General features: G+C 47.7%; 1 protein-coding gene across 8 annotated transcripts in view; it reads left to right on the top strand.

The window, feature by feature from the left end:
* The window catches only part of NPLOC4 (NPL4 homolog, ubiquitin recognition factor), an 80,228-nt gene that overhangs the window by 764 nt on the left and 65,729 nt on the right, over positions 1 to 13,735 (top strand). For all 8 annotated transcript variants that reach the window (XM_011524980.2, NM_017921.4, NM_001438810.1 and 5 more), the window contains exon 2: positions 6,544 to 6,624. In XM_011524980.2, coding sequence (XP_011523282.1) covers positions 6,544 to 6,624 — 81 coding nt within the window. The remainder of the gene's footprint in view (positions 1 to 6,543; positions 6,625 to 13,735) is intronic.

Here is a 13,735-nt window from a genome sequence, read left to right as displayed (position 1 = left end):
GACAACTTGACAATTCCTCTTTAAAAGGAATGTTGTAAATGATGTTGATTTCACTTTTTACCTGAAATTGAAATTGTCGGCCCGGCGCAGTGGCTCACGCCTGTGATGTCAGCACTTTGGGAGGCCGAGGCGGGTGGATCACCTGGGGTCAGGAGTTCGAGACCATCCTGGCCAACATGGCAAAATCTTGTCTCTACTAAAAATACAAAAAATTAGCCGGGCGTCATGGCGCACTGTAATCCCAGATACTTGGGAGGCTGAGGCAGGAGAATTGCTTGAACGCGGGAGGTGGAGGTTACAGTGAGCTGAGATCCCTCCATGGCACTCCAGCCTGGGCTATAGAGCGAGACTGCGTCTCAAAAAAAAAAAAAAAATTGTCACACACTCCTCCTTAACGTAAAAAATATCAGTGACAAATCAGAAAACCAGTCCCTCGTTAAGTTGTGAGAAGTTTCTTCCCAAAAGTAAATGTGATGGGAAAAAAACTAACTGACCATTGGACAGGAGCATTTTGGTTAATATTAAGGAAGATTTGGGATTTCTGGGGGAAGCTTAGCAGTATTGGGTGAAGAGTAATGTTCATACTGTAGCATTGTGACAGTCTCTGCAGTTTTGCCAGGTGTTGTCTAGAATAGGTCTCCAGGCCCGGCGCGGTGACTCACACCTGTAATCCCAGCACTTTGGGAAGCCCAGGTGGGTGGATCACCTGAGGTCAGGAGTTCAAGACCAGCCTGGACAACATAGTGAGCCTAGGTGGCGTCACTGGACTCCACCCTGGGCGACAGAATGAGACTGTCTCACACACACAAACAAATGGGTCTCCAGGAGAACCTAGCACTTATTTGCAAGGCTGTTCTCTGGTGGTTCCATCATCTCTCCAGTCAGGGGCCCTCTTGGTGCCTCCATGTTTCCCAACCTGGAGATGAGTGGAATGAATATATGGCCCAGGAGAAACTTAGGAAACGTCGACTCCTTTTTTTTTTTTTTTTTTAACCTTATTTTATTTTTTTGAGATGGAGTCTCACTCTGTCGCCCAGGCTGGAGTTCAGTGGTGCGATCTCTGCTTACTGCAACCTCCGCCTCTCGGGTTCAAGAAATTCTCCTGCCTCAGCCGAGTAGCTGGGGTTGCAGGTGCTCGCCAACACGCATGGCTGATGTCTTTTTTATTTTTAGTGGTGATGGGGTTTCACCGTGTTGGCCAGGTTGATCTCGAACTTCTGACCTCGTGATCCGCCCGCCTTGGCATACCAAAATGCTGGGATTACAGGCATAAGCCACCGCGCCTGGCCTTTAAATCTTTTTAATTAAAAACATTTTTTTATAGAGATGAGGTCTCTACTATGTTGTACAGGCTGGTCTCTGAGCTCGAGGGATCCTCCTACCTTGGGGTCCCAAAATTGCTAGGATTACAGTCCTGAGCTACCATGCCCGGCCAAGAAACCTTTGACTCCTTTGAAAAATAAAATGTGGCCATGCAGTGGCTCACGCCTGTAATCCCAGCACTTTGGGAGGCCGAGGTGGGCGGATCACGAGGTCAGGAGTTCAAGACTGGCCTGACCAACATGGTGAAACCCTGTCTCTACTAAAAATAAAAAATTAGCCGGGTGTGGTGGCATGCACCTGTTATCCCAGCTACTCTGGAGGTTGAGGGAGGGGAATCGCTCAAACCCGGGAGGTGGAGGTTGCAGTGAGCCCAGATTGCGCCACTGCACTCCAGCCTGGGCGACAGAGCAAGACTGTCTCAAAAAAAAAAAAAAAAGTGTTAATCATTGGTGACTTTGCCTAGAAATAGGTTAGGAATTAGCACTGAAACCTTCTTTCAAACTACCTTTGTACTTTTAACTGAGTTAAAATAACCATTGACAAGTGAAAAGTGTTTCAGACAAGGCCATTTTTTTTTTCCCACTAGTGTATAAGGCTAGGCTCTCATTGACAGCATTGGATCTCGTTGAATGTCTCAGATTGTGAGGAATTAAAACACTCTTCTTTTGAAATTGATTTAAAAAGTTATTTTGAATTTAAGAAAGAGATCTTTTGAAAAGTTTCTGGGCTGGGCATGGTGGCTCACACCTGTAATCCCAGCACTTTGAGAGGCCGAGGCAGGTGAATAATGAGGTCAGGAGTTGAGACCAGCCTGGCCGACATGGTGAAACCACGTCTTTACTAAAAATACAAAAATTAGGGCGTGGTGGCTCACGTTTGTAATCCTAGCACTTTGGAAGGCCGAGGCAGGTGGATTGCCTGAGCTCAGGAGTTTGAGACCAGCCTGGGCAACACGGTGAAACCCCACGTCTACTAAAAAAAAAAAATACAAAAAATTAACCGGGCGTGGTGGCGTGCACCTGTAGTCCCAGCCACTCAGGAGGCTGAGGCAGAAAAGTTAGAACCCGGGAGGCGGAGATTGCAGTGAGCCGAGATCGCACCACTGCACTCCAGCCTGGGTGACAGAGTGAGACTCTTAAAAAAAAAAAAAAAATTAGCTGGGCGCGGTGGCGGGCGCCTATAATCCCAGCTACTTGGGAGGCTTGAGGCAAGAGAATTGCTTGAACTCGGCAGGCAAAGGTTGCAGTGAACCGAGGTCGCGCCATCGCACTCCCACTCTGGGTGACAGAGCAAGACTCTGTCTTGGGGGGAGAAAAGAGTTTCTGTGGATTTAACTGTATCTCACCAGTTCTTCAACTTCCCCAAGAAGCGTTCTAGTCTTATTTTCTTATAAATAGGGAAACTTAAGTTACCAAGAGGCTGTGTGTTCATGTTGTCAGGTCTGTCTCTTCCTGTGTATTTCATTTTGTAGTCTGTGTCAGAGGCTAGGCCAGAACTTTCCATCGTACAAATTATGTTTGTCTCTTGTTAAATACTGGAGTTGGCCTTGGAAACCTGGACTCCCATCTTCTGTGGTAGAGGATCAAGTAGGATGACTTCTTCACCTTAGAATTCTGCAGCCTGAACCATTTAGCTCTGTAAAGAATGGCGGTAACATGCTCTTGTTCCAGAGTCATCGTTTGAAGGAACATTCACATGTTCCCCTTCATTAGAACAGAGCTTTCCTTTTTAAGATAGCTAAGTGTTGGCAGACAGATTTTAGAAACAAATAAGTGGAAGTATTTACCTAATGCTATATATTGTGAAAACGTTTTTCTGGGGTATTGAATCTAGAATGAAGTATACTAGACGTTAGAAGTATAAAGAATTGTATTTCTTTTCTTTTTTTTTTTTTTTTTGAGACGGAGTCTTGCTCTGTCACCCAGGCTGGAGTGCAGTGGCGCGATCTGCTCACCACAAGCTCTGCCTCCTGGGTTCACGCCATTCTCCTACCTCAGCCTCCCAAGTAGCTGGGACTACAGGCGCCCTCCACCACGCCTGGCTAATGTTTTGTATTTTTAGTAGAGATGGGGTTTCACCGTGTTAGCCAGGATGGTCTCAATCTCCTGACTTAAAAGTTGAGAACATATTGGGTGGAGCCTTTTCTGCCAAGTGAAAGTTATGGGAAAATGCAGGACAGGGTTATCCTATTTTAGGAAAATCTAGATTAGGCTTAGTTACTTTACTAAAAGCGGACAAATCCCAGTAGACTGAGCCTTTATGGTGTTTTGTCCTGTATCAGTGGAAATCTTTTTTAGACAATGGCTTGTGACAGTTTTCATCTGCATAATGGTTGAAGAGGATGTTTAATGTAACACTCGTGGTAACCTCACAGAAAATAGTTATAGAATTTATGAAAAAGGAAATAAGGGAGGCCGGGTGTGGTGGTGCACACCTGTAATCCCAGCACTTTGGGAGGCCCAGGTGGGTGGATAACTTGAGGTCAGGAGTTCGAGACCAGCCTGGCCAACGTGGTGAAATCCCATCTCTACTAAAAATACTAAAAATTAGCCAGGCGTGGTGGCAGGCACTTGTAATCCCAGATACTCAGGAGGCTGAGACAGGAGAATCACTTGAACCGGGGAGGCAGAGGTTGCAGTGAGCCGAGATCACGCCATTGCACTCCAGCCTGGGCAACAAGAGCTGAAAAAAAAAAAAGAAATAAAAAAGGAAATAAGGGAATTGAAATGTTTCACTATAAAAAATCAGCTAGGCCAGGGTTGGTGGCTCATGCCTATAATCCCAGCACTTTAGGAGGCTGAGGCAGGTGGATCACCTGAGGTAGGCGTTTAAGACCAGATTGACTAACATGTTGAAACCCCGTCTCTACTAAAAATACAAAAATTAGCTGGGCTTGGTGGTGCACGCCTGTAATCCCAGCTGCTCAGGAGGCTGAGACAGGAGAATCGCCTGAACCTGGGAGGCGGAGGTTGCAGTGAGTGGAGGTTGCAGTGAGCCGAGATTGCGCCACTGCACTCCACCCTGGGCAACGGAAAAAGACTGTCTCAAAAAAAAGAAAATTAGCTGGGTATGGTGGTGGGCGCCTGTGATTCCAGCTACTCAGGAGGCTGAGGCAGGAGAATCACTTGAACTCAAGAGGCAGAGGTTGCAGTGAGCCAAGATTGCGCCATTGTACTCCAGCCTGGGCCACAAGATTGAAACTTCATCTCGGGGAAAAAAAAAATGAGCTAAATACAAGAGATGGTAATGCAGGAAATGAGAGAGAAAGAAGCTATAGAATGCACCATCAGTCTTTGCTGAGAGGAGAAGCTAGGACACTTATGCGCATGTTCCTGTCTGCCTTCCTTCCCGTCCCGCGGATGGTTGGAGCAGGTCTTTGTTTGCTGCAGAGCATGCCATGTCATCCTCCTTGTCTAAAGCAGGGGCCTGTGCTGTTGGCCAGGCATGATAACTCACCTTCACGATGGCTTTCATCAGCATAAACATCAAGTTGTCTTAGAAAGTAATGCCCTTTGTCCAGTAGTCTTCCAGATCTGCCAACCTTTTTAGGCTTGCCGTGGGGGAAAAAAAAAAAAAAAAAAAAAAAAAATATATATATATATATGTACACTTTAATATGCATATATGCACACACACGTTATTAAATTAGGATGGGGTCTCGCTGTGTTGGCCAGGCTGATCTCGAATTCCTAGGCTAAAGAGATCTTCCTGCCTTGGTCTCCTGAAGTGCACAGATTATAGGTGTGAGCCACTGTGCCCAGCTGAAAATATTTTTTCAAAACCCTACTAAATTTTACCATTAAAGACCTTTATTGCTTTTAATTTTAATTTCTTTTTTAAGTTTAAATTTTTACTTTTTTTTTGAGACGAAGTCTTGCTCTTCGTCACGCAATGGCACGATCTTGGCTCACTGCAACCTCTGCCTCCTGGGTTCAAGCGATTCTCCTGCCTCAGCCTCCCGGGTAGCTGGGATTACAGGTGCCCGCCACCACGCCCAGCTAATTTTTGTATTTTTAGTAGAGACGGGGTTTCACCATGTTGGCCAGGCTGGTCTCGAACTCCTGACCTCAGGTGATCTGCCCGCATTGGCCTCCCAAAGTGCTGGGATTACAGGCAGGAGCCACTGTGCCCAGCCTAATCTCTTTTTTTGAGACAGGGTCTCACTTTGTCACCAATGCTGGAGTGCAGTGGCACCATCTTGGCTCACTGTAGCCTCGACCTCCCTGGTTTAAGTGATCCTCGTGCCTCAGCTCCCCAAGTAGCTGAGACCATAGGCGTACGCCACCATGCCTGGCTAACTTGTATTTTTAGTAGAGATGGGGTTTCCCCATGTTGCCCACTGGTCTTGAACTTCTGAGCTCAAGTGATCCACCGCCTTGGCCTCCCAAAGTGCTACAATTACAGACGTGAGCCACTGTGTCTGGCCATTTTTAAACGTTTTTTAGGGAAAGTAAGTAATAGCTGGCGTTGTGGCTCACACCTGTAATCCCAGCACAGTGGCAGGATCACTTGAGCCCCGGAGCTCGAGATCAGCCTGGGAAATATGACACTCCGTCACTACAAAAAAAAAAATTAACCTGGTGTGGTGGTGCAAGCCTGTGGTTCCAGCTCTCGGGAGGCTGAGGTCAGAGGATCACTTGAACCTTGGATGTCAAGGCTGCAGTAAGCTGTGATTTTGCCACTGCACTCCAGCCTGGGTGACAGCAAGACCCTGTCTCAAAAAAGCAAAAAAAAAGTAACAATTAGAAAATTTCCTGTGATTCTTTTAAATTGTAGGACTCTTGAAGACTGTCTAATGTTTGTATATAGATCCTGGAACAAAGTAACATCTTTTTTTTTTTTTTTTCCCCAAAGTAACATCTTTTTTAAAGAACACAGTTCATTCATGGTTCATGGTGGGTTTTTCTCTGTTTTAAGTCTGAAGAGACAAAAAGTGTTTTACATATACTCTATAAATAGTGATTAGGAATTAAAGTTGTTTTCTGAGTGAAACTAAGAGTTGAGAGGACAGTACTCTTAAAATATCTCCCCATATGTTGATGAATCTCACCCCTCGGCATCATATTCTAGAAGGATTGAGCTGGGTATTGAAAGGTGAAGAGTGAGGTTTGGCTTTAATTTTCAGTGACCCAGATGCTAAAAGACCACAGATGGAAGCCGTAGTATTAGATCAGGACCTCACTAGGCTGTGCAGTAACCATCATGTTTTGTTTGCAACAGATAATTCGTGTCCAGTCCCCGGATGGAGTGAAGCGGATCACAGCAACAAAGAGAGAAACAGCAGCAACATTTTTGAAAAAGGTATCTGTGGCCTGGGTATTGACCCTCAGGATATTTTTCATCCTCTACTCTTACTGCCATCGATACCTTTTCTCTTTTCCTCGTTTTCTTATTTTCCCTATTCCCAAATTGCCTCTTGCATTGCCTTTCTCTATCACAGTTGGGTTGGATTGCTATAGGATGAGATGTTTGTCACAGCTGATCACTGCTCAAAATTATAGGACCAAGAGCCCAAAGGTAAGTGTAAAAATATTTCACGGCTGGGCGTGGTGGCTCACACCTGTAATCCCAGCACTTCGGGAGACCAAGGCGGGTGGATCACGAAGTGAGGAGTTCAAGACCAGCCTGGCCAAGATGGTGAAACCCCGTCTACTAAAAATACAAAAATTAGTCGGGCGTGGTGGTAGGTGCCTGTAATCCCAGCTACTTGGGAAGCTGAGGCAAGAGAATTGCTTGACTCAGAAGGCAGAGTTTACAGTGAGTCGAGGTGGTGCCACTGCACTCCAACCTGGGCAACAGAGTGAGACTCCATCTCAAAAAAAAAAAAAAAAAAGTATTTCATAAGAGTGGCCAGGCGCAGTGGCTGACGCCTGTAATCGCAGCACTTTGGGAGGCCGAGGCGGGCGGATCACAAGGTCAGGAGATTGAGACCATCCTGGCTAACATGGTGAAACCCTATCTCTAGTAAAAATACAAAAAATTAGCCGGGTGTGGTGGCGGGCACCTGTAGTCCCAGCTGCTGGTGAGGCTGAGGCAGGAGAATGATGTGAACCCAGGAGGCGGAGCTTGCAGTGAGCTGAGATCGCGCCACTGCACTCCAGCCTGGGCGACAGAGTGAGACTGTCTCAAAAAAAAAAAAAAGTATGAATTGTAGATATGACTACAGTTGACTCAAAGAATCATCCCTGGCTCCTCCCTGGTCTCCTGACCTGCATTGTGTCCAGGATTCCCATGACAGTTTTTCTTTTTTTAACCAATCACAAAATATTTCATTTACTGTGATAGTTGCATATTATGTACTTCTTAGCTTATCTTCACAGTTTCTTCCTTATTTACTTTTCCCATGGATTCCCCCAGACTATTTCTGTCTGGTGTTGTTTCTCTTCAGACTGAAAAACATCCATTAGCCTTTGTTGTAGGTAGGTTTGTTGGTCACAGACCTTTGGGTTTTTTTGACCTGAAAATGTTTTCGTTTTGCCCTGTGTTTATATGAGGGTTATTTTCTTTTTTTTTGAGATGGCATCTCACTCTGTTGCCCAGGCTGGAGTGCAGTGGCATGATCTCGGCTCACTGCAACCTCTGCCTCCTGGGTTCAAGCAATCCTCTGCCTAAGCCTCTCGAGTAGCTAGGATTACAGGCACCCGCCACCATACCTGACTAATTTTTTGTATTTTTAGTAGAGACGGGGTTTCACTATCTTCACCATGCTGGTCTTGAACTCCCGACCTCGTGATCCACCCGCTTCAGTGTGAGCCACCGTGCCCAGCCATGAAGGATATATTTTCTTTTTCTTTTTTTTTTCTTTTTTTTTTTATGAGAGGGAGTCTCGCTCTGTCTCCAAGGCTGGAATGCAGTGGCATGATCTTGGCTCACTGCAAGCTCCGCCTCCCGGGTTCACGCCACTCTCCTGCCTCAGCCTCCCGAGTAGCTGGACTACAGGCGCCCACCACCATGCCTGGCTAATTTTTTGTATTTTTAGTAGAGACGGGATTTCACCATGTTAGCCAGGATGGTCTTCATCTCCTGACCTCGTGATCTGCCCGCCTTGGCCTCCCAAGGATATTTTCATTCAATACAAATTTCTTTTTTTGAGATGGAGTCTTTTTCTGTCGCCCAGGCTGGAATGTGGTGGCGTGATCTCGGCTCAGTGCAACCTCCGCCTCCTGGGTTCCAGCAGTTCTCCTGCCTCAGCCTCCCAAGTAGCTGGGATTACAGGTGTGCACCACAATACCTGGCTAATTTTTGTTTTTGTTTTTTGAGACAGAGTTTCGCTCTTGTTGCCCAGGCTGGAGTGTGATGGCATGATCTTGGCTCATTGCAGCCTCTGCCTCCTGTGTTCAAGCAATTCTCCTGCCTCAGCCTCCCGGGTTCAAGCAATTCTGCCTCAGCCTTCCGAGTAGCTGGGATTACAGGCATACGCCACCAAGTCCGGCTAAGTTTGTCTTTTTAATAGAGATGGAGTTTCACCATGTTGGTCAGGCTGGTCTCGAACTCCTGACCTCAGGTGATCCACCCGCCTTGGCCTCCCAAAGTGCTGGGGTTACAGGCGTGAGCCACTGCACCTGGCCTCAAAACAGATTTCTGAGTTGACAGTTCATTTTTGTTCCCCACCATGCATCAATTTTTTTTTTTTTTTGAGACGGAGTCTTTCTGTTGCCCAGGCTGGAATGCAGTGGCGCGATCTCGGCTCACTGCAAGCTCTGCCTCCCAGGTTCATGCCATTTCCCTGCCTCAGCCTCCCGAGTAGCTGGGACTACAGGCACCCGCCACCATGCCCGGCTAATGTTTTTTGTGTTTTTAGTAGAGATGGGGTTTCACTGTGTTAGTGAGGATGGTCTCGATCTCCTGACCTCATGATCCGCCTGCCTCGGCCTCCCAATGTGCCGGGATTACAAGAGTGAGCCACCACACCTGGCCCTTTTTCTTTTTTTTTTTTGAGACGAAGTCTCATTGTGTCGCCCAAGCTGGAGTGCAGCGGCACAATCTTGCCTCACTGCAACCTCCGCCTCCCGGGTTCAAGTGATTCTGTTGCCTCAGCCTCCCGAGTAGCTGGGACTACAGGCTCGCACCACCATGCCCAGCTGATTTTTGTATTTTTAGTAGAGACGAGGTTTCACTATGTTGGCCAGTCTGGTCTCGAATTCCTGATCTCAGGTGATCCGCCCGCCTCAGCCTCCCAAAGTGCTGGGATTACAGGTATGATCCACCCTCACCCAGTCCATTTTAAAATTATTATTATTATTATTTTTGCCTAGGTTGGAGTGCACTGGCAAAGTCACAGCTCACTGCAGCCTTGACTTCCCGGGCTCAAACGATCCTCCCACGTGAGCTTCCTAGCTAATTTCTTAATTTTTTGGTAGAGATGGGGTTTCACCATGTTGTCTAGGCTGGTCTTGATTTCCTCAAGTGATCCTCCCCACTCTGTCTCCTGGATGCTGGGATTCCAGGCGGGAGCCGCGGTGCCTGGTCCTGTTGAGCATTTGAAGCTGTCGTTCCACCGTCTTCTTGGTCTTCTCGTCTTCGTTGACCTCTGGCTTTCAGTAGGGTGACTCTGGTGTGCCTTGCAGTGGTGTTCTTTGTATCTTAACTTGAGAGAGTTTGCTGAACTTCCTGGAGTTGCTATTTGATGTTTTTCATTAAATTTTGGGGTTTTCCCCACTCTTAAGTATTTTTCTGTTCTATTTTCATTCTTTTCTTTTTTTTTTTTCTTGAGATGGAGTCTCGCTCTGTTGCCCAGGCTGGAGTGCAGTGGCGCGATCTTGGCTGACTGCAACCTCCGCCTCCGGGGTTCAAGCGGTTTTCCTGGCTCAGCCTCCCGAGTAACTGAGATTACAGGCACGTGCCAGCTCACCTGGCTAATTTTTTTTTTTTTTTTTTGAGATGAAGTCTCACTCTGTCGCTTGGGCTGGAGTGCAGTGGCGCAATCTCTGCCCACTGCAACCTCCACCTCCCAGGTTCAAGCGATTCTCCTGTTTCAGCCTCCTGAGTAGCTGGGATTACAGGGGTGCACCACCACACCTGTCTAATTTTTGTATTTTTAGTAGAGATGGGATTTCACCATGTTGGCCAGGCTGGTCTCAAACTCCTGACTTCAGGTGATCTGCCCAACTCGGCCTCCCAAAGTGTTGGGATTACAGGCTTGAACCTCCGCGCCCAACCCTCATTTTTTTCTAGTGAGGAGCATTTGATCCTGTACCATGGGTTCCTAAGGCTGTTTTTTTTTTCCCCAAATCTCTGCCTTCAGATTATATAGCTGTTATTTTTATTGATTCATTTATGTTTTTCTTTTTAGAGTTGGTTGGATTCTCACTCTGTCGCTCAGGCTGGAGTGCAGTGGTGTGATCATATCTCATTGTAGCCTTAAACTTCTGGGCTCAAGCAGTGCTTCCACCTCAGCCTTCCGAGTTGCTGGGACCACAAGCTATTCACCTATGTTTAGGTTGACTCTTCTGCTCTCTCCCTTCTGCTGATAAGCCCGTTCAGTGAATTTTTTATTTCTGTTCTTGTGTTTTTCAGTTCTAGAATTTCCATTTGATTGTTCTTTTATGATTTGTTTCTTTACCGAGATTCACATTCCTTTTATTTGGGTACATCTACTCTGATGACCCCTCGGTGTAGAGCTCTTGCTCTGGCCCCTTGCCTGGGCTCAGACACAGATGCGCCCACCTGCCTGCTGGACGGCTTCACTGCAGTGTGTCTGGTTGTCACCTCCGATCTCAGTGTCAAATGGAAGTCCTGATTTTCCCTCTAGTCTTCTTCCTTTTTTAGCCTTTCCTTTCATGGTCCCTGCACAGGTGTTACCTCCACATAGTTTCTCAATCTAGAATTCTCAGCTTTACTCTGACCTCCTTCCTTTCTCTCATTCCATTCCTGCCCCTGGTCCTGCTCGTCAGCTGGGCCTGGTGATGACCACTGCTGGAAAGTGTGCTCTTGCCTTCATCCCCACCATCCTGTCCCATCTCATCCCCTGTCTCAGCCCATCTCTCTTGTCTCTAATTGGCACTCTAGCTTCCTCTTCAGTGTGGTGTTGAGCAACAGGGATTTTGTGGATGATGATTCCCCCTGCCTTTCGTCTGTGTGGCTTCCCACGGCCCTGTCTGCCTCGCCAGCCTCATCTCTTTCCATCTTCCTTATTGTTTATTGGCCTCTGGCCTCCGTGTTTCCAACACCCTTCCTGCCTCCTGGTCTTTGTGCTTGCTCCTACTCCCTGTGGCCTTTTCTCCCAGCTCGCGTGTGGCGGGCTTACCCACCGCTGGGTGGGCCCTGCTCAGCTGAAGCTCTTCAGAGAGACTTCTAGCCTCCCATCTGAGGTTTCTTTTCCTTTTCTGTCGTAGTGCTTATTTCGACCTTTGTTGACTTTGTCTCCCCCATTTGTTGGTAAACTGCTTGACAGCAGGAACCTTGTCTTTTTTTTGTTTTTCTTTTTTTGAGGTGGAGTCTTGTTCCGTTGCCCAGGCTAGAGTGTAATGGCGTGATCTCATCTCACTGCAGCTCCGCCTCCCAGGTCGAAGTGATTCTCCTGTCTCAGCCCACCGACTAGCTGGGACTGTAGGCGTGCACCACCATGCCTGGCTAATTTTTGTCTTTGTTTTTGTTTTTGTTTTTTTGAGACGGAGTTTCACTCTTGTCGCCCAGGCTGGAGTGCAATGGCGCCATCTTGGCTCACTGCAACCTCTGCCTTCTGGTTTCAAGCAATTCTCTTGCCGCAGCCTCCTGAGTAGCTGGGATAACAAGTGTCCGCCACCACGCCTAGCTAATTTTTGTATTTTAGTAGAAATGGGGTTTCATCAAGGTGGCCAGGCTGGCCTCGATCTCCTGACCTCGTGATCCGCCCACCTCGGCCTCCCAGAGTGCTGGGATTACAGGCGTGAGTCACCACACCTGGCCTAATTTTTGTATTTTTAGGAGAGATGGGGTTTCACCATGTTGGTCAGGCTGGTCTTGAACTCCTGACTTGAAGTGATCCACCCGCCTTGGCCTCCCGAAGTGCTGGGATTGCAGACATGAGCCACCACGCCCGGCCAGAAACCTTGTCTTTTCTAGTTCATTTTTGTGATCTGAACACCCAGAATGGAGCTGAGCACATAGAACTGCTTAATATTTGTTGAAGGAATGAGTGAATATTCCCAGCATCTAGCAAAGTGCCCTGCACAGTGGACGTTTTATGATTTAGTCGCACCATTCTGTGTTAGGTTTCAGAATTGGAATTGAGTTTTGTTTTTTTTTTTGAGACGGAGTCTCGCTCTGTCGTCCTGGCTGGAGTGCAGTGGCGCGATCTCGGCTCACTGCAAGCTCCGCCTCCCGGGTTCACGCCACTCTCCTGCCTCAGCCTCCCGAGTAGCTGGGACTGCAGGCGCCCACCACCACGCCCGGCTAATTTTTTGTATTTTTAGTAGAGACGGGGTTTCACCGTGTTAGCCAGGATGGTCTCGATCTCCTGACCTCATGATCCGCCTGCCTCGGCCTCCCAAAATGCTGGGATTACAGGCGTCAGCCACCGCGCCCGGCCGGGTTTTTTATTTTTTTGAGACAGAGTTTTGCTTTTTTTTTTTTTTTTTTTTGAAACAAAGTCTTGCTCTGTCACCCAGGCTGGAGTGCAGTGGCATGATCTCGACTCACTGCAGCCTCTACCTCCCAGGCCCAAGCAGTTCTGCCTCAGCCTCCCGGGTAGCTGGGATTACAGGTGTGCGCCACCATGCCTGGCTAATTTTTGTATTTTTAGTAGAGACGGTTTCACTATGTTGACCAGGCTGGTGTCGAACTCCTGGCCTCGTGATCCACCTGCTTTGGCCTCCCATAGTGCTGAGATTACAGGTGTGAGCCTCCACACCCGGCCAGAGTTTTGCTCTTGTTGCCCAAGCTGGAGTGGAATAGCACGATCTCGGCTCCCTGCAACCTCTGCCTCCCAGCTTCAAGTGATTCTCCTGCTTCAGCCTCACGGGTAGCTGGGATTACAGGCATGTGCCACCATGCCTGGCTAATTTTGTAGTTTTAGTAGAAACGGGGATTCACCATGTTGGTCAGGCTGGTCTCGAACTCCTAACCTCAGGTGATACTCCCACCTCATCCTCCCAAAGTGCTGGGATTACAGGCATGAGCCACCACGCCTGGCCTGGAATTGGGTTTTTACAATTGAATTCAAAAATGGAAATTGAACTTTTCAAACATAGCCATTGGCCATGCATGGTGGCTCACGCCTGTAATCCCAGTACTTTGGGAGGCCAAGGTGGGCGGATCACCTGAGGTCAGGAGTTTGAGACCACCGTGGCCAACATGGTGAAACTCCATCTCTACTAAAAATACAAAAATCAGCCGGGTGTGGTGGCAGGCGCCTGTAATCCCAGCTACTTGGGAGGCTGAGGCAGGAGAATCACTGGAACCTGGGATGTGGAGGTTGCAGTAAGCCGAGATC

The sequence above is a fragment of the Homo sapiens genome, chromosome 17, assembly GCF_000001405.40.
Source record: "Homo sapiens chromosome 17, GRCh38.p14 Primary Assembly".
NCBI lineage: Eukaryota > Metazoa > Chordata > Mammalia > Primates > Hominidae > Homo > Homo sapiens.
The sequence above is the reverse complement of the archived record's forward strand: the minus strand, read 5'-3'. Positions and strand labels throughout refer to the sequence as shown.